We start from the raw sequence: 21,006 nt of genomic DNA, 5'->3' as shown, positions 1-21,006 counted from the left end.
CCCCAGCCTCAGTGGATGGACTCTGAGGAGTGGAATCCCCTGGGGCTGGTCTCTTCTCTACTGACCTCCCCAGGAAGGCCTTTACTTCCTGTCAGAGAGCAGACGAATCTGTTGGCCCCTCCCTCAGAATGTCTTACCTACTCTACACCTTGTGGGCATTCCTCCAGTTTTCCAGCAGGTGGAAGGGAATAGGGAAGTCATCGACCTTCCCTATTTTCTACTTCTGATATGGAAGCCTTTTCAACTGAAATTACATTCTGATAGCCTTTTGGATGAGAATTGGAAAGAGGAAGAGAATAAAATCAGTGAACTCAGGGTAGTTTTGCATTGGAAGTCAACGTTACATTTTCAGACTATATCTCTCTTTCATGTTCTCCTTTCCTCATATAAATACAGGCAGGCCATGTTTCCAGAAAATCAATGCTGAAGTGAGTAAATGGTCTGCTTTTCACATAGAGCGTCGGCATTGATGACTCTGGCAGCAAAGTTCACATTTCCAGAAATGAAGTTTCTGCCTAATGGAAGAGGCTTCTGGTCCCCAGTGGGCAGAAAATGGCTGCCTTCTTCATCTTTGTAGAGTACAATCCGAGCCAAGGGATCCAGTCTTTTCAAAGTAGTCCCGGGGCTCAGATCTGCATTGTTGGAAGTTCAGAGTGACAAACACTGCATATCAAATCACCCTGGTTTGATGTATCAGTGAATTGGAAATCATTCCCAGGGGCTGGTGAGTCAGTGATCCCTTGGACTGGGCTTTTGTTCTTGGACTATGCTTTGGGATGGTAAGTCCGAGGAGCTCTGTAAACAGGTTGGAGTCTATTTTCCTTTGATTGGCTGATGTCTCTAGGGCAGGCTGAGCAAATCCTATAAATCAAACCCTCCCCACCTCCACATCTTTTGGAGTTTTCTGTTGGAAGATAATCTCACCTTACTTCATAGGCTTCAGAACACTTCCAGACATAGGAAGCCTCCCCGGGCAAATGCTTTTGGGGTCTTCCTAAGAGCCATGTTGATTTATCTGTTTATGAATTCATCTAACATCTATTAATTTCCTACTCTATGCCAGACACAGTGTAAGGCGTTGGTGCTACAAGAGAATAAAACAGGTAGAGTGTGTAAGTTATACTCAGTCAAATTTAAATCCTGTTTCACTGACTAGTACAAGGGTCATTAAGTATGAAAACACTCAGCTGCTTGCTCCTTTATTCGCAGCCGTATTATGCGTGCATGTCCCCCTCCCCACCCACAGGCACACAGAGACACACACAAATCCCAGGATAATCTGGAGAGTCATGGTAATGGGGACTGAGGAAACAATTTCAGAGGAGTGAGAATATCACAACTAGGTGAGCCTCGTGGACGAAAAGTTGATAGGCTTTGAAAGCAACCTGACCTGGACTCAGTTTTTGCTACTTGCTGGATGTGTGATAGGTTGTAAGTGATAACCTCTCTGACCTCTTATTTGTAAAATGAGGATGAAGACAAAACCTATCTCAGGATAGTTGTGATGGGTAGATAAGATGATGAAGATGGAGATTTTTAGCTCAGTGCCTGTTACATAGTAGATATGCAATAAAAATTGGTTTATCTCCTCCCTTAGGTTTGTGGACTACATATGTACATTTGAGGGGTGATAACTAACTCACTGCCTTTTCAGAGTGATGCTTGAATTCACCCTGTTCACCCTATTTTCGGTACCAGTCTATCGGAATTTCACTAAGCCTAAGAAGCATTCTCCCTACCCACCCCCCACCACACTGTGCTGATGGTGTCCCAACACAACCCCCAAACTATTGCAGAATATAGTTGGGCATAAAATGCCCCCTAGTGGTGATGTGAGGCAAAATTCCAGCCAGATGGTCCAATACTGAGTGGAAATAAGAAATGTATTTAAAATGTTTCAATAACTAAAGATTGGCCTGTTCTCAGCTCAATTACATGGTTGCTGGCACATGACTGATTGGCTTTTCACCTCAAGTTAGTCAGGCTACACAGTGACATCAGTTTTCTGCAGACTTAGAGAATTGCAAATTGGGATTTAGAAAGATGAATTGCAGGGTTCCTTTGATGATGGTGATGCTGCCACAGGGCTGATAGCTGGGATGTGGCTCCATGAGCCATGCTTCCAGAGCCAAAAGGATGCCCATGCTGGCAGGCACTAAGCCTGGGTCACAACTCCACCCCTGGCATCTGTCTGGCCCGTAGAAGGTGCTTAATAAATCTCTGTCAGATGGAAACTTGGTTGATGACAAGTGCAAAGCTACTTACAAGAATCACAGAAAAGGTCATTTGAAATGGGAATTATCTCAGGAAATACAAGACATTAGTTACTCTAGTTGATTCTGGATCTGTCAGGCTAGTCTGGATTTATCCAGATCCAAGGAATAGTGATCTCCTTTTTCAGTTAGGTGCTGAAAACTGGAAGACAAAAAGCCTAAGTATCTTTAACAATTATAGGGTGAAAGGGAATGAAATAATTTGAGTGAATCACATTAATCCAGTACATGGCTTACTGAGTTTGTAATGTATGTAGTAGGTGCACAATAAATATTTTTGATTGATTGCCATGTGCCAAGCATCATTTAAGAAGGCTTACATATTGCTCACTTAACCATAACAACCTGACCAACGAGTTATCACTGTCCTCAATCTTATAGGTAAGGAAATGAAGCTCAGAGAAGTTACTTACCTGGGTTACTGGCTCATTAGGTGATGCAGCTGGGATTTGCATGTAGTTTTGCTTAACTGGAAAGACCATGCCCTGCTTACTCTAGTAGTTTTCTGCCCCAATTTTGGTTTAAGATAGTGAAAGTTGCCTCATTTACTTTCAATTTTCAAGGGGGAGACAAATCTTCATTTTCTTTCTGAGCCAAAACTTGCCTGAAGCTGGGTTTCTGGGGCTGGGTTGGATTCATGACTGTCTCCCTCAGGACTGAGCATAAGGTCCATGCATTGGAGGAATGGAGGGACTCTATGGCAACATGTGGCCTCCACACAACAGTAGTGATAAATGTCACACAAGATGCAGCTACATCAGCTGTCCTGGGAGTCACAAAGCTTTCCGTGCCCCTCATGTTTTCAGGGTTTGTTTTAGGAAGGTTGTTATGTATGTGATGTTGAAGATGAATATCTCTAACACAGGAAGGAGCAAATATCTGCCATTTTCCAATACAGGAAATAAAGTATAAGAAAAAAGGTTTCAATGATTTGGTGTCACTTCTCAGTGAGAAGACAATGAAATTCTACTGCCCTGTCCCTGAGACTTGTGTGGCTTCCATCATTCACAGCACCAGGCTCTGAGGCCTACTCAAAGCCTCATTAATTTGCTTAGGTGAGTTGGCAATATCAAGTGCAAAGATTGAAAATCTCTAATTTTATTAGGGATCAGTCACAGTGTAACACAGAGACATACATGGGCACCTGATTTTAAGTGAAACAGGTAGGAGCAGATAGCAAAGTTCTGTGTTCCTGAAGCTGCTTAATTAGACTTGGAGAATGAGACACAATGTGAGGATGTGGTGACCCCTGGGCAGTAGCTGGACAGTTGGTAATCTGTCATTCAGGAGGTCATCCCAACTTCTTCCCACATCTCACCCTACCTGCTGCTACAGAAGCAATGCCAGGTGGTCAATAACCAGTCAAGGTCAACAAGGAGGCCTGAAGCTAGGACTGGGCTAGTTCAGGAGGGCCTGCCATTTTTCTCCCTGACAGCCATCTCCTTCCGATGATGCCCCTTTTTAAAATCTGTCTCTCCTCCACTCCCCTGCTATCAACCCCTGAGTAACCCAACTGGGAGGCCTGCTTGCAAATACAGTTGAATTATTGTCATCACGACCTCCTGTTGGCATTTACGTTTTCTAACTGCTTTACCATGAACTATGGGGATTCTATCCTGGATTACCCAGGATTGTCATCAGTTACAACACTCAATTATGAAAATATGTATGATAAAATTTTTTAAATATTCACAAAAAAGTAAGAAATCTGTATACAGCTACATATAAATGTGGTTGTTAGCTCAAGTTTTAATACCTTTGTAAGGCTTCTCATATCACTTTAACAAGGGTCTAGAACAGGGATGGAGAGAGATTACACCCTCTGCAATGCCTCTAGACTTGTCTGGAGACTGGCAAGACAAGCTGACAGAGGCCTTCTTCATGAAGAATAGGGAATGTGAATGGGATGGGAGGTGCAGTTGAAGCCTAGGCCTGTTGAATTGGAGAGTGGGGCTGTGGACCACGATTGTTCCAAGTAGTTGTGAACTGAGAGTCATTCTGTGAACTCCCATGTAGTATGGCAGAGGGAAAGGCATTTATCCAGAGGAGAGAGCCTTGGCTTACATGTTGGTGTAGAAATGACACTCAGGCCGGAAGTGGGAAACTCTCCTGAAAATCATGGAGCTGGAGACATGATTATACTGGTTTGTAATCTGTACAATCAAATTCCATAAACATTTCTGAGAATCTAGTATCAAAGTTCAACATACTTTGGGGATAAAAGGGAGGCGAAGACAAGGAGCTTATAGTCTGATGGTGGAGGCAGGTACGTCAACCAGAATTTTCAATGTGAACTTCTATGATAAAGATGTTGTAGAAACCCAAATAAGGAACATGTAATAGAACCTGGGGAGGAGCTGGTCATGGTTGGTCAGCAGGTATAGCCTAGAGAGACTGTTATGTGAGCTGAGTCTGAAACAATGAGTAGAAGTAGCCAAGCTAAGAAGTAGGGTGCCTGGCAACAGCGTAAGTGAAGGCAGAGAGTGAGAACTGCAGGTTAGTGAGGACAGATAGTGGCCATTCAGGCACTTTTGAGGTAGTAACAGCAGAGAAAGGTTTACAATGAGCAAGCTGGAGCTCGGTCTGAAAGCCAATTATTTCAATAATGGGACAAGGTCCAGGGCCTGTGTCATTGTCCGGAGTTAGAAGAATCTGCTGTCAGGAGGAGAGATTCTTGTCCATCTGCGATCTTCCTCAGTTGTCTTCACCTGAATTGCCTTTGCCTTACCTCTCAACACCATGATTACAAGTGACAGAATGTAATACTAGCACCTTCAGACTGGGACTGTACAGGAAAGTGATTCAGTGGACTCTGGATTACTGCCTGACATTGATTTCTTAGTTTAGTCTCCAGGACATGTTGAATAACTGCATTAGTCATTTCTACTCTGACCAGAAAGACATAGTCATTGGTTTGGAGTTTTTATCATCAGTACCATGGGCCGTAGATCATGCTTTATTAACAATGTTAATCTCCCACATCCTAAACGTTCTCATTTCGATCAGGGCTTGGCATGTGGGACTGCACTTGCGTTACTTTCGAATTCAGTTTTCTGGTTACTGGTGAATCCTTGAATTTCACCAGAAACAGAAATGCCAATGTTCTGCAATCATTTTAACGTGAATCTCTTCTTGCAATTTGTTCTTGGATCGCAAGAGGACTTCCAAATTAACCACTAATAGCATGTATTGAAAGCTTTGAAACAATTAAATTCTGAGATTCCATCTGAATTCCCATAATATAGCAAACCACAGATGTTAGAAATCATTTGGAAACCCACTGGGCTTCAAGTCTATGTAGTAATTAATATTTGCTGAATAAACGAATGAAATGTCAGCTACATAACAAGAACTGAGATTAACATTTAAATTGCTATTTAAGCACTAGACTCTTGAAATATGGAAAACTAACATTTGAGCAAATTAAGTCCAAATCTCTACAATGTCGTAGGAACCAAAGTAATTACTATATAATAAAAATACCCAGAATGTATTATTCCTGATGATCCACGTAATTAAAATAATAAACCTTCAGGAATTTGTTTTCTGTTCTGGAGGTGCTAATAAAAAGGGAAAGTGTCTGAGAAACTTTCCCCTGGAGGGCCCACTTTGGCTTGGACCTGGTATTTAAAATCCATCCGGGAGACTCAAAATCAAGTAGCCAAAAGAAACCAGGAGGAGCGAACACATGCATGGGCAGAAGCAGATGTAAGGACCAGGGAATGGATTTGAACATCCTGGGAGATGAGAACAGTAGGGGAGGGGGCATGAGAGAGGCTCAGCAGAAGGATTCCTGCTACAGAGTCTGGAATTGCTACTCTTGCAAGCTTTGTTTTCTGTGCATCTAAGTTGGGTGGTTGGGTAGCAAAATGTAAAAGGCTAATGAGTTGGTGTGCACTCAATTCATACAGCCAGTCATCTGCCTTGGTTTTCATTGGCTGTCTTGTTCCCTTGCCTGCATTTCTGGATCCTTTAATGTGCTCTCTGGGTCATGCAAGCCTCGCTTGCTTGGGTTCATTTCTGGGCTTCTGCAGAGTAAATAGATTCTTCCTATTTACTGTCATGGAAATACAATGCACACAATTTATTTGAGAGGTGGCATGGTGTATCTTACATGGTTATTTTGTCGTTTAGAATAATAAATATAATATGTGCTCACTCTAGAAAATACAGTAAGCTTTTACACAAAGATAAAATAAAAACCATCTGCAAAGTAACTTTCAGAGAGAATTTCTTACTTTTCCATCTTGGTATTTGTTTCTTCTATATTTTATGAGTGTATATAAAACTTGAAATATATTATATTTATTGTGCTTTTAAAAACCTTTAACATTGCACAAAGAGAAATGGTTATTATAGTTGCATAATATTCCTTAATATTCCATTCTATGGTTATATCACAATTTTATTATTCCATTGCTAGAAACTTACTTTTTAATAAAACAACTTAATGCAGTCTTTGTTTCTGTCTTTGAATGTTTCTTTAGTATACTTATGGTATAATCCTACAAGTAGAATTACTAAGCAGTGCCTGAATACATCATTTAAGTTTGCTGTATATTACTAAATTGTTCTCCAGAAAAATTGGGTTAAGTTGTTCTGATTTACTCTCCCACAAACAGTTTTACAGAACTGTTCTGTGCTTTATATATTATTTTGCTTTGATCTTTATTTGATATATCTCATATTATGGTGAATTATTGAGTTTGTATTGTTCAGACCACTAATAAACAATATTTTTTCACACATTCTTTTAACTCTGTATTTAATCTAAAATTGTTTTTATTTCCCATGCCCACTTTTCCATTAGAAATATTATTTATTTTCCCTCAAGGGCTCTTTACATATTAAGGACTTTAACCATGTTATATTTTTATATAATTAATGTATATACTATTAGCTATAATATTATATATTTATTTTTATTGCAAATAATTTTCTTAGTTTGTTGTTTCCCTTTAAATTTTTGTTTTTAGGCTTGAATAATGCTTGCTAGTCCTGAAATTAGTGTCATCATTATATAATTTTTCTAGCTATTTTGTAAAAATTTAGTTCCGCAATCTAGCTGAGATTTACAACTTTATATAAGAACCATTATTCACCCACTACTTTTGTTGCAAAAATACTAGTTCCTTTTTTACTAACTGTGGTAGTTTCTTTGTAACATTAAGTTCATATATGTACCAGGACTTTATTTTCAGTGCAAAATATTTCTTATTATTGATCCATCTGTCAATTATTTTGCTAGTTCTGTAATGTTTTGCTTACTGTGGATATACATTTATTAATAACTAATAGGGAAACATCTTTCTTCCCCATAGTTGTTTGTGTTCAAATTTCTGAGCTTTTCTCACCTATTTTTTAAATAAAAATTTCAAATTATTTAATCAATTTAAAACAATCACATTGAAGTTTTGATTAAAATTATTTCAAACATTATATGCTAATTTGGGGAGAATTGACATCTTCACCAAATTTAATCATCCTATCTTGAAGCACCTCATGTCCTTCCATGTATTCTATATATTTCAGTAATGCTTCACCTAGAGAATTAATGCTATCTTAAATTCGAATAGCGCTTTCCAGTTTATAAAACACTCTCGTTTTTTCACGATCCTCTCGACAGCTGAGCAGAAGCTCCAACTTGGATAGTTAGAGATTGCAGTTCTTGTCCTGACTCTACCATCTACCAGCTATGTAACCTTGGGAAGGTCACTTTACTTCTCTGGGCCTCATCTGCTCAAAGAGCTAGTTCTGTTTGGTTGTCTGGTAGGCTCTTTCAGGAAAACACATAACAGAGTGTTTTCTGAAGTGTGTGCCAGTGGTCATTATTAGAGGTAATATTGTAATGCTCTGTGGTCAAATAGACTTGGAAAATGCATATTAAAGAATTAAACAAGTTTCTTTTCTTTCTTTCTTTTTTTTTTTTTGAAACAGAGTCTCGCTCTGTCGCCCAGGCTGGAGTGTAATGGTGTGATCTTGGCTCACTGCATCCTCTGCCTCCCGGGATCAAGCAATTCTCCTGCCTCAGCCTCAGCCTCCTGAGTGGCTGGGACTGCAGGCACCTGCCACCACGCCTGGCTAATTTTTGTATTTTTAGTAGAGATGGGGTTTTATCATGTTGGCCAGGCTGGTCTCAAACTCCTGACCTCAAATGATCCACCCGCTTTGATCTCCCAAAGTGCTGGGATTACAGGCGTGAGCCACCATAAACAAGTTTCCTTACTGTAAGACTTCTCAGAGAGTTAAATGGTGAATGCATCCTCTAAGTATATAATGGTGTATAATATGTGGTGCTTCCAAAATTCTTTATTTCATATTCCCCTGACAACTGCTTAAGAACTCTCATAATTAGAGTTCTGTGGAACAACTTTTGGGAAGTTCTGATATGGTGGAAAGAGCATGCGCCTTATCTGGGTTATAATTTTAACCAATATCTGGGTAAAAGTTTTTGGATTATTAACTATTATGTGAACTTATCTTCTCAGAGCCTCACTTTTCTTCTCTCTAAATCAAAGAGGATAATGCCTGTCTCAGAGCTTTAGGAGTTGCATTAGACATTACCGAGCACCAAGATTCCCTGCCTTTCCGAGCAGGAGGATTACATTTCTCTGCTCCACTGATACCAGACGTGACCATGAACTTACTTTGGCCAATGAATAGTGAGTGGAAGTCATATGTGTTATTTCTGGGCAGAAGCTTATGAGAGCCAGGGCAAGGTTCGTTACTCTGTATCTCTCTAGCTCTTGCTCTTCTGACTTCAGTATTATGGAAGCCTTTGTTGACATGGGGCTTCCATCAACTGGTTCCCTGAGAGATTACAATACACGGAGTCACCCTGTTAACCTGTGATGGACATGGGACATGAGTAGGAAACAAACATTAAAATATTATGATTTTAACCCACTGAGAATATCCAGTTATTTGTTTCCTCAGCATAAGCTTGCTTAACCTGATTGATGAATGAAATGATCAATAGAAAAGACTGAGTGGCCTGATAGAATTGCATTCATTACATTATTCTAAGTTTTATTTTAGGCTGATAGTTTCTGTGTTCTTGAATACTCTTTGCATTTTAATCTTAACCTAGACCAAAAATCCTGAAAAGGGACTAAATACATTGGAAAAGGAATAAATGTATTCTTAGCCAAAAGAATATCTTCTATCTGCATGGGTTGCTCTGTGTTGCTAAGGGTTAGAGTCTACAATAATACGTGAAAGATGAGAAACCTGCATTTGAGCACTCACAATATTCCCTGACATTTTTTATTAAATTATGACTTGTGAATAATGCTCCTTGTGTGAACACCTTCGTTCAATATCTTTATGTGAATGGAATTCTGAGTGCTGTGGGGATATCTTGGGTCTGATTCAGAGGCCTGGGTGAATCGTGGCTGTAGCCCAGCAAAAGAGTTTTGGCTTCTTTAAGGAACTCCAAGAATCCTTTAGACTCTGTCCAGAGGGCATGAGGAGTAAGAGTTTATTTTACATTAATATTAACCCCCCTAACATATGTTAGGGGGGTTATAAGAAGAGACACTTGAGGGATGGAACTCAGAACTCTTTTACTTAGAATGGTTTTTTTTGCTAATACTTGGAATCAGTTTATTGAAGAAAGAAGTTCTGATGAGATAAAAGAGGGATGGTGAGAAAGGGGGAGACAGAACTGTTTTTTAAAAACTGAGCGTGCAAAGTCCAAGCTGAATGCCCTGGTAAGGATGAGGGCAAGCAGTTAAGGCTGGGAAAAGAGAGGCTTGTGAGAGGGCAGGGAATCTTCATGAGGGTTCTTGTGAGTCTTGTCAAAGTTATGATTGCATCTTATTCCTTTCCAACCACCTACTCCTGTCTTTAGAAGGAGGAAAGAGTCCCAGGAAGTTTCTTTTTTATTTATCTTTAGCAATGCATGACTAGCCTGGGTGGGTGGAGAGTCTTTGAGGATGGAGTGTCTGGAAAGGTGGAGAATCTGAGTAAGTGGAAAGGCGGGGAAAGTGGAGAGGCCAGGAGGGTGAAGAAGCTGGATGAATGGAGAGTCTAGGAGGCTGGCCTTTGATGGGGAAGAGCATCGGTCCTCCCCTACCTCCCACCTTCTCTGGGCTTGGAGAGGATTGTCACAGATTAGTAAGCAGAACTCCTCCATGACTACCCCCCTTTCTCCTGTCTCTCAAAACTCTTCCTCCCACATGAGAACTGGCTCCATTCCTACTTCACCATCCAGGCAGGGATGGTGGTTATTGTTCTGTACCCAGGGCAGAAATGCCTGGGGCTAGAGCAGCCCTGTGGTGTGCTGAAGGTCCACACCTGCCTGCCAGGTCCAGAGCCCATGGCTCCAGCTCACATTTTGCTTGGATGTTTTAAGCTGTCAGGAAAGGATGTGATTCCTTATGCTTTTTGGAGGAGAATAAAAAAATCTTCTTATTGAGCCATCATGAAAAAATGAGCAAATGTTTTGGGTAGTTTTTTGAGCTGATGTTTTCAGAATGGTTTTAGTATTTTTTCATAAAATTACATAAGTGAATGGCATTGTTATTATCTGGAATGTAGAGAATCATTTGAAAAATGTAAGGCCCTTTTCTTTGAGGAGGGGGAGAAACTTTTACTTTCTTGGTTACTCAAAACCATACAATCTAGTCTGAATCAGTTTTTATAAGAATCTATTCAATCTCTTTGTAATGTAGATAATAACAAGACAAAAACCATGGGCAGATCCAGCCTCTGTACCCTCCAAATGTGTAATAATGCAATGTCTGCTTGACTCTCTGGGGGCCATGTTTTAAGATCTTGGCTTCAATACTGTCAATGTCGTATTACACTTAGTATTTATATCAATTAGGAAAGTATTCAGCTTAGCAGTGGCTTAAACAAAGATTTATTTTTTTTCATATAATAAGAAATCTGAAGATATGTTGCTGCTGAACTCAATTTGCTAAGATTCCCTTGGCTTTTTTTTCCTGTGGTCACAAAATGGCTGCTGCGGCTCCATGCATTATGTCTGAATTCAAGTCAGGGGGACATCAGAATGCCAGCAATATCTTTCCGCTTTCATCAGAAAAGGAAAAATCTTTATTAGAAATCTCAGAGACTTCCAATTAAGCTTCCCAAACTGTGCTACCTTTAACTGCAAGGGAGACTAGGAGAGTGAGTACTTAGCTGGGAAAGTGAGGAGGAGGTTGAAACTAAGTATTGTTTCAACCAAATGTCATCCTGGGTTACAGAAACCTGTTCTCTTTTCCTTTCCCTTTTCCAGGCTTGTGTAGTGCCTCTACTCACCAATCCTACGGATTTTTCCCAAAATCCGATAGCATCATCATTATTCCTCATCATTACTAAATAATATAGAACATGGCTTACTGTGATGTCACGAATCCCTCCCAAATTATGACACCTATAAATTCAAGCCAAATGGTTGGTGAATAAGGATTAAGACTTTATCTACCCAAATTCATTCACATGAGCTTATTGAGATATTAGCAGTAAACTTGTTTTACAGATTATTTCTTGATATACTCTTTCACTCAACAAAATATTTACTGACCTTTTATCTGCTGTGTGTCAGTCACTGTACTAGGAATAGTAGGATCTAAAGGTGTCCCTAAATAACTGACATCTAGTCTGTGTGTGTGTGGGCATGTGTGTCTGTCACTGTGTATTTGTATGTGTCCATGTGTATGTGCTCATGGGTGTGTGTGTATGCGTGTGTGTGTGTGTATGTAGGTGAACATGCATGTCAAGAGAGGAACCATATTGCACAGAGATTCTAAGTGCTTTAGGAGCAGAAGGGTAGTGATGTGATGATGCTGGACTACTGAACAATTCTGAAGCCTTCCTAGAAGAGAAGGCAATTGAGGTTAGCGTGATATCAGAAGAAAAAGGTGTGAGAAAGGCATATCCAGAAAAGGTAAACAGGACCCTGTATCCTCAGACTATGGTAAGACAGTCAGTACAACGTGGTCCAGGATGTGAAGAGAGGAGTAGAGAAGGTGATTGGGTCAGAATGTGAAAGGCCAGTAGGCCAGGCCCAAGGATTTGGGTTTTATCTGCCAGAAGGTAAGGATCAAATCTTTAAAGCCATGCATTATACCCTCGACCCTGGGGGCGTTTCTGTTGCCTATTGAGGTAATTAATTCTTGCCAATGGAATTCAGTCAAAGTCATGTGTCATTTCAGGCCAAAGACAGCAAGAGAAAATTTACCATCACCCCTGGAAGCCACTTGTTCTAGAAGGTGTAGCTACAAGTTGACCTGTTTGCTACTGTGATATGAGGGAACAATAAACCTCTGGTGTGTTAAATCACGGAGATTTAGGGTTTGTTTTTTACTGTTGGAGAGCTTAACCTATCCAGACCAAAATCAGCTCAGAATTCTCTTTCTTTTCTTTCTTATTTTATTTTTACCTTATCTTAACTTTTAGGAAGTTTACACCTTTAACTTCCCTCAGACTTTAGTTTCATATCTGCTCAAAGAAAAAGAATGCTATTTTAAATCCCCCTAGAGCTGATGGGAGGTTCAAAGGTGATATTGTGAAATCATATTGCAAACTGTAAAGTGCTGACAAGAGTAATAGATCTATCATTTTTAGGCAGCCATCAATATTGCCTAAGTGGGAAAACAAGAAACTTGATTATTCCTTACAACTTCCTCATGACCTTGGGTGATTTTGCCATCTGTGGCCTGGAAAATCTTCACAGCAGAGAAGAAGCCATTTCTTTCTTTCTCCAGATAGGGCATAATTTGCTCTTTCTGCAAATAGCCTTTCATGTAGTGGGCCATTAAGTTTGCTTAGATAATAGCTAGACATAATATCAGGATGACAAAGTAAGAAATGGAAATTTTCCCTCTATATCTATATCTTATTCTACATTTTCATGGTCTCATTTTTTTTTTTTAAAAAAAAGAAAAGAAACAGCTTAATTCATGACCATTGTTTGAGGACCACCTGCATATCGAAGCTGTCCTGAAGTGCTTCCACCTGCAGTGGTCTCTCTCAGCATCTTCCGAAACTTCTTCCTTACAGCTAATGCTGCCTCCTCACCTCTCAGTAGTTGTCTTGAGAAAAGAGTGGAATGACGAATTCCTGGGACTCTAATTATGAATAATGAACACTCCTGGGGGCCGCTTGCTGTTCTTTAAGGCTATACAAGCATTCTCTCACTTAACTATTCACAACAACTCTCTACAGGACATGCAATTATTAGCTTTGTTTGTTGGATGAGGAAACTGAGACACCGGTGGAAGTAAAGTGCCCAAAGTCACTCTGCTAGATGGTGTGGCACTGGGATTTGACCCCAGAAGTCTGGCTCTAAAGCCTGCTCTCTGAGCCACACTGCCTCATTGAAATGATGGAGAAAGCTCAAAAGCCTGAGTTTACTTGGGGGACTGAGAGGTCCAGAGAGAAGCTCAGTTTATTTAAGAAAAATAGTGTTAGATTTCTTATCTACCTGAGTGCATGGCTTGAAACATTCTTACTTCATCAACAGGAAATTATTTGAAGGATGGCAGAATGACATTGTCAAGCATGAATGGATGTGCTTCTTTCCACTTCTTTGATACACTGTCCACCAGCCCAGGCAGCCCCACTGTCCTCAGACTGCACTCTTTATCAATGCAGATGGACAGAAACAAGTCAGCACTGGGCTTTCAAAATACCTCAGTGAGGATATCTTAAACAGCTGGAAGAGAAATGGGTTTTTTCTGTTGCAAGAGGGTGTGACTTTTGAGCATTCAGAACAGAGAGCCTGGAATAATAAATTCGGAAGAACACTGTGTCATCAATTTCCCCATGACAGGGGGGTCGCTGAGGGCGATGGAAGAGTTTGATGGCGCAGCAGTGGTGTCAGATGCTGGGGAGATGCGAGGCAACTGAGACAATGACAAGAGGGTATTGGATTGCCCCCCTCCAAGGGTTAGCAGGAAAAAGCGGAGGAAGAGAGAACATTTGCTACATTTGGGGAGCACAGGATTGGAAGGGCGCTGAGGTCCACTTACTGTGTAGGGACCAGGGAAGTACAGTCTCCCAGATTTTCCCATCTATCATGAGGTGGAAGTTGTATAGCGTAGGTGGCTATGTGGGATGAGAGAGGGCCAGAGATGCTCCATTTTGTTTTCTGCAGCCCAAAGTTGGTAGCAGTCAAACTTTCTATTCTTAGGAAGGAGGCAGAAATTATCGCTGGGATTGAGAGACAGGGATTCAAGCACCCTGTACCAGGAGAGAATGTGGCCAAGGGACATTACCCCAGAAAGCAATGTGGGCCTGACACAGGTCGGATGGGAACCCAGATGAAAGTCCAGAACGAGGATGACCACATCTGAGGGACAGACAGGTCTTGTTTCAGCTGATGCCAACTTGCTCAGATCCCTCAGTAGATCAGACTCTCTTCACCATCCATCCTCTACCCCCACTCCCCCCCGCCACACACACATACACACACACACACAGAGAGAGAGAGAGAGAGAGAGAGAGAAATGCACTACAGAAGCACTGCCCCTGGAGTTAGATGCCTTCCCGAAGCCAGAAAATGTGAAAACTCTTCCTGGGCTGAAAAGCTCTGCAATGACTAGGTTTATTCTGAATTAGCTAAGATTATGCTTCCTGCCATCAAATGTATTAGTAATGCAAAGAGAAATTTAGCTGAGGAAGATTTCCTTTTCAAATACTAGCGTCTATAGTTTGGAAATTGTGTGCCATCCTCAGCCTTTCTCATTTGTGTGAAGTGAAATTGGACACACTGCACGGTAGAGTTTACCCAGGGTCAGGGATTGGAAAGCAGAGCACTAGGTCTGGGTAGCAGAACTGGCAGGAAGGAATAATATGTTTAATAATGATTTAACCGAGCAAAACTGGTAGTAATTTCCTTAGGAGCAGCCACAGTATTCAACTGTAGAAACTCAAATTGAACATACTGAGCGAGACTAATTAGAAAAGAATAAAAAATGCATGATGTAAATGCAAGACCTCTCGTTACAAATTGCAGGAGATACATTTGGGGGTTGGGACATGAGGGATTCTGGATTCCAGGAAGGACATCCCTGACACTGTCCTGGGGCCAGGGCAGGAAGGAGCTCCCTTGCAAAAGCATAGCGTGAGATAATTGGGACATGCGTTGAGTTGAAATTTGCTTTTGTTATATTAATGGAGGAAGAGTGTGTTAAGAAAATTAACAGTAAGGCAGCGTGGCAGGGAGGGTGTACAAACAAAGGGAACAAACTGTGTCAAATCACCCTCAAGCACTTAGAAGCAACCATTTACATATAAACAATAGACTAATTGTGTATCACTTGTAACTATCCACCGAAGGAGGCGCAATAAAAGATTGTTATTAGGTGATATTTAGCAGTCTTAGTTCATGTTTCTGTGCTCACCTATGAGTAATAAAACTAAGTTTCATTTACATTATTTTATAATTTAGATAATTCACTAATCAAGACAGGTCTCCCTCCCAGTTACTTCTAATTAGGTTTCTCATTAAGTATCAGAGATTCAGGAAACATTGCTGGTGAATTCACCAGCAAAATTAAGGGCTTTCTGTGTGAAGAGTTTTGTATTTGTTTTGCATTTGGACAGCCTTATATTCAGATACCTCATTTATTTTCTGATGAGCTGGTTCCCATTTCCCCTTGAAAACTTCTGGTAGATTCTTGAAACGCATATAATTCCTTAGTGCCAAGACCTAGGTCTTGAAGAGGTGAGCTGGATGTGATCTTAAAAGCACACAAAACTGGAAACTGTGAAGGGAGCCAGGGTCTGAGCTGAGAATCTTGAACCCAAGACCACGTAGGGTTAGTTACACAAGGCCCATGGTGGAAGATGGGATGGGTGAACCCACCCTAGACCTCCCTGCTCATTTCCAAGAGCCTCACATGCTTAGGAAGGTAGAGTAGGTTAGAGGGGTGGAAGCAGAAGCCAGAATTCAAGGGTGGAGGTGGGAGGAAGGAACAGACTCTAAGCCTGTGAAGGAAGTGCCAGTAAGATCTAGACGGGGTGCTTTGTCTCCTCCTGAAAGAGCTTTGGAGTTCAGAGGATAAGAACTAGAATGTGAGATGGGAAACGAAGTCAGGAGCCTAGGTAAGTGGACGGAGCAAGACAGCTGAGACTAGGTAAGGCTGCCATGCAATAGAGATGGATTCCCCAGGGCTGGACCAGGTACTTGGTACCAGCTCATGGTGCCTCAGCTAATTCCATACCCCACCCACTGGAATCTAGAACCGACTTTGGTCTCATTGGCTTAGAAATGGAATAGGGACAAGCTGAACATGCTTGCAGAAAGGGACCTGGGTGAGTATAGAGACCAGGCAGGGTAGGGGCTGATGGGTGGAAACTTGGTTAATGAGAGCCCCCACCCACCTCTGTCACAGGGAATACATGCTTTCTGTTGCTTATTTGACAAAATGTTGGTAATTGGAAGAAAAAACACATCACAATTTGTTTATGCAGTCAATGTTTATTGAGTATGACTAACATAGTGGTAGGTCCTGGGAGAAAATATGAAACAAATATAAGGCATTCATTTTACTCAAGGAGCTTGAGGACTGTAACACATTCAGCCAACACATATGGAAATAGCAGTTTAAGACAGAACTGCATTAAGTGGCAAGAAGAGAGGTACAGTCCGTGACACTAATGAAGCTCAGGGAGGGATGAGTCAGGGAGGGATGAGTCAAGGAGGGCTTCATGGAGGAAGCAACCCAAGCTGAGCTTTATAGACTGGGTAAAATTGAGATAAACAGATGAAGATGGAAGGCAGGACCGGAAGGAAAGATACACCATGGATTGTGAGAATTAAATGAGATACTTCACAGAAGTCACTTGCTAAGTGAGTCTTGCTATGACTCTTGGCACCAAGAATGCCCAAAGTAAATGAGACGTATGGTTGTTGCTGTTATTTCTGTGACTTTTACTGCTGCTGCTATTTTTATTTTCATGCTATTTTTTTTACTGCTTTTGATGAAGGCAATGGGGATTAAAGGGGATACATCTGGGAGACAGTAAAGGGAGCATGGTTTCGAATTTCTTCTCTAGAAGTATGTCAGATAAAATGAATTGCAGTGAACAAGGGCTTGCATTGGAACTATTTCTGTATCAACAATGCATTAGAATTGCTTGTGCCCAAAGGGGATCATAGAAAAAAAGTTACACTAAGAAATATAAGCTAAGTTCTCACAAATACCACCAGTAATCACTGTGTAACTAAAAATCACAGGGTTTTAGTCAATACACGTATCTCTCAAATAATGAATCTGAGCATTCTAAGCTCCTGGCCAAACACAATTCCTGTCTTTCTGCTTTTCTCCTTGTCCAGTGGTCCAGCCGTTTTGCTGCAAACATATCAATAGGAATCAGCTAGAGATGCTGTGATTCTCTTTAGTGTCTGGCGATGATGTTGCTAGGATAGAGAGGACAAACACTCATAGAGAGCAAGGTGGGATTTGTTTCTTCACATATTCCAAATATCCCTGTAGGTGCTATATTCAAAAAATGGCAAATGAGATTTCAGCTGAGATTGATTCTTGCCAGAGTCTCAGAATAACCACCTTATTGCTGATTTTATTCCCTTTGCAATGGAGGGCCTCTCTTCATTCTGCTTGCTATCATGTTCTAAGAATATCAAAGAGGCTACACAGGCAGCAATACTGAGTGGAGTCCTGTGCTTCCTGGGTGCACACAGCCTGCCAAGACAGACTCTCTGGGTCTGCAGGCTGATTTCATAAAGGGGATTATTCAGTCGACATTAAGTGGCAACAAACTCTAATTTTACTTTCTAAGCTACATCGTGGAGCTGTGCAGCTGGGCTGCGTATGTGCATATGCATTAGGAGGTGATTCCAAGGGACAGGGTTTCACTGAAGCCAGTGGAGGAGTAGTTTGCTCAGGTTCTGCTTTGCTGCAGGATCATTAGGGCCCTGGAAGTTTAAGTCTGACTCCTGGGACAGCACCCTGCTGAAAGTTTTATTCTGAATATTTGCAAAAGAAGTGAACTTCCAGTAGGGAGGTGGATGTTACAGTAATGCTATCTCATTGTGTAAAAACCAAATCATTTCAAGAACATACAGAGGATTAACAACAACAACAACAACAAAACCCAACAAAGCAACAACTAGAATCTTTTTGAAGTATTTTTTCTTCAGTGGAAAGGACCAGTTTGAGACCTGTGAATTATTGCAATGACTAAACATATCGTTAGACAGGTGTGAAATAACCTGACAACCCAGCATTCTGAGGCAAGAAGCAGGAAACTGTTCTTTTCCCAAATGTGCGGTTCATTTCTGTCCACAAGATCTTGTTGCGGAATAAGAAACAATACAGTATTAGCTTAATGAAGATCCTTCCTCAGTGTGGCCCTTGGATACTTTGAAGGTGAAACTCACCAAACTCTCTGTCCTTCATTTGTTCTAGGAGGTAATTTGTTGCAAATGGTGGCATCATCAACTACCCTCAAAGAAATATATTCCTCACTGATGTTTAATGAAAAGGATCATCAAAGAAAGTGTCGTCCTTCCTGCCTTATTCAATGTTGTTTCTCATCATATCAGTCACTGTCCTGGGGATTGTGAGCTTTCCGCATCTCTGGTGTTCCTAGCAAAAAACTCATAGCTCTAACCCCTACTAGAAACAGACATTTCAAGTACTGCTATAGGATTAATTAAAAGTGCTTTCACCTAAGGAAAGGGGGAAAGTAAAAATCATCCACTCATAAATGTTACTCACGATTCACACATTTCCAGCAGCATCAGAAAGAAAAACGTCACCTGTATTCCTAAGAAACTACAATCTAGGTCTCTGCACACTACAGCTTGTTGTTTTAGCACTTCAGACTTTTAAAAATCCTTTTTAGTAAAGAAAATAACACTCATTCACAATACTGGCTATGATACTTCAATTGACACTCTTAAGTTCCAGCAGTCTCATTGTTATAAGTCAGTGTTCAGAGTCGCAGGCAAGAAACTTACCTTAAAGGAGTAGTAGAAGGAACCCCATTCCTTTCCTTCCACCACTTCAGTAAAAGTCACTGTTTCAGTGCAAGCCACTGGGGAAGAATCCAGCGTCTGCCCGGTCCCACTGGAATCGAAGCTGCCCTCTGTGAAGTTGGCTGGCATGGCTCAGGCGGGGTTGAGCCTCACTGTCCTTGCTCCTGCAGCTGAGTGAGGGAGTCCAGCTTGCCTCCTGAGAGCTGGGCAGCAGCTGCAGCTCTGCTGAACGGAGGCACAGAGCCCTCCCTGAGCCCACCTCACTGAAGAGCTCTGCCTGATGACAGGGAGGATCTACGTGCTGCTCTCTCCTTGGCAATTACCACCAGGTAGCCAGCATAGCACAACCCTCATCACCCCACAGTCCCACCCAGGGCCAGGGCCCCACCCCAAGAGCAAGGTGGAGCTCCCCATAGCCATCGACATGGCTCCCTGGATGAGACCCCTGTTCTGTTTTGCTTTTCCTTACTTCCACGGTGGACCCCCACTTCTGCTCCAGCTTCAACAATAAAGGAATTTGGACTAATCAGTAGGTGCATGAATTCGGGTCATGTTTCCACTTCTGAAATCAAATTATAATTATGCATTTGTTTCAGCTGAGGTTGCTTTCTGACTTAAAGCCTCACCTTGCCATCTACTGTGTCATGTGCTCTTATTTCCGTAAGTGTAGGCAAATAGTACGTTTGTATTTCACACCCTTAGTTCTATCTAGGTGTTCACAGGGCGGTTCTCAGAGAAACATGAGGTCTGTGTTTGTCAATAAGCTACAACACCTTGTGATATGACTGGGAGGGGCCTGGTGAAGATTCTTACTGCTTTCAGTATATTCACCTCAGCTTCTACCTAGGACCAATACTCAGGGCGAGGGTAGAAAGGAGGTAATGCAGCATCCTGGGCACCACAGACAGGGCTAGGCGAGAATACTAACAGCTATTCCTGTTTCACAAAAAACCTGCAAAGCACATTTACACGTTCTTTCATTCAGTTTCCCAAACAACCTTGTGAGATAGGCAGGGAAGGTATCTTTATGTTCTCCTTTATGCTAGCAGAGAGTGGCTCCAATAGGTGAAATGACTTGCCCAAGATCCCGCAGCTGCTGATGTAAATGAGCTGATAACCCATCTCCAGAACTTCCTAGACAGTGGTGCTTTTACTGTAACAGACTGGTTTGCATCAAATCTCAAATGTCTATGGGGCATGAAGGTAACATGAATGAGGGTAGCAGGCCAGGTATAAAACAATGGGAACTAAGCTGCTTATATGACAACCAAGCACAATACCTGATTCCTCACATTGAGAACACTCTGTGAACCAACCAGGTCCAGCCACTGGTTTATGGCACCTGGAATAAGAGGTAGTAGCTTTAGTGGCCACCACTAAAGAACCTGGCCCCCATGAGATCTCCTGGGGAAGCTTTATTATAAACCATCGAGCCCCAAGGAGGGCACAGTGCTCTAGCAATGAGAAGGCATTGAGTCTATAATGAAGGGCAGCAAACAGAAGTGAGTTGTGTAGAAAACTGGATAAGCTGTGGACTCTTAAGGAAAGGTTCAAAACAGGACAACAACTCAATAGCAAAACAAGTGCAGCATATTCCAACTAACAAATGAGTATGAAGATAGGCTCAACCATATTAAAAATTAAGGAAAATAACTAAAACCAGTAAGAATGTTTACCTATTATTATAGTGAAAGCTAGCGTGTGGCTATCCCCAAGTGCTGACAAGATTGAAGGGAAACGGGTGTACATCTTTACTTCTGGTGAGAGTTAGTTGAT

General features: G+C 41.4%; 1 protein-coding gene and 1 long non-coding RNA gene across 7 annotated transcripts in view, besides 2 other annotated features; one reads left to right on the top strand and one right to left on the bottom strand.

Annotated features, from left to right (window-relative positions):
- The window catches only part of NPSR1 (neuropeptide S receptor 1), a 220,115-nt gene extending 200,561 nt beyond the window's left edge, over positions 1 to 19,554 (bottom strand). For all 5 annotated transcript variants that reach the window (NM_207173.2, NM_001300933.2, NM_001300935.2 and 2 more), the window contains exon 1: positions 19,213 to 19,554. In NM_207173.2, coding sequence (NP_997056.1) covers positions 19,213 to 19,359 — 147 coding nt within the window. In that variant the 5' untranslated portion in view covers positions 19,360 to 19,554. The remainder of the gene's footprint in view (positions 1 to 19,212) is intronic.
- NPSR1-AS1 (NPSR1 antisense RNA 1) overlaps positions 1 to 21,006 on the top strand; it is a 487,820-nt gene that overhangs the window by 156,560 nt on the left and 310,254 nt on the right. The window lies entirely within an intron of this gene.
- Positions 15,006 to 15,841: an enhancer, noted in NCBI's record as "OCT4-NANOG-H3K27ac-H3K4me1 hESC enhancer chr7:34701543-34702378 (GRCh37/hg19 assembly coordinates)". NCBI's record gives its function as "activates a minimal SCP1, AML or CMV promoter by ChIP-STARR-seq in primed H9 embryonic stem cells {active_cell/tissue: H9 hESC(primed)}" and the evidence as "EXISTENCE:reporter gene assay evidence [ECO:0000049][PMID:30033119]".
- Positions 16,678 to 17,515: an enhancer, noted in NCBI's record as "H3K27ac hESC enhancer chr7:34699869-34700706 (GRCh37/hg19 assembly coordinates)". NCBI's record gives its function as "activates a minimal SCP1, AML or CMV promoter by ChIP-STARR-seq in primed H9 embryonic stem cells {active_cell/tissue: H9 hESC(primed)}" and the evidence as "EXISTENCE:reporter gene assay evidence [ECO:0000049][PMID:30033119]".

The sequence above is a fragment of the Homo sapiens genome, chromosome 7 (assembly GCF_000001405.40).
Source record: "Homo sapiens chromosome 7, GRCh38.p14 Primary Assembly".
Classification (NCBI taxonomy): Eukaryota; Metazoa; Chordata; class Mammalia; order Primates; family Hominidae; genus Homo; species Homo sapiens.
Note: the sequence above shows the minus strand (reverse complement) of the source record. Positions and strands in the feature narration are given on the sequence as shown.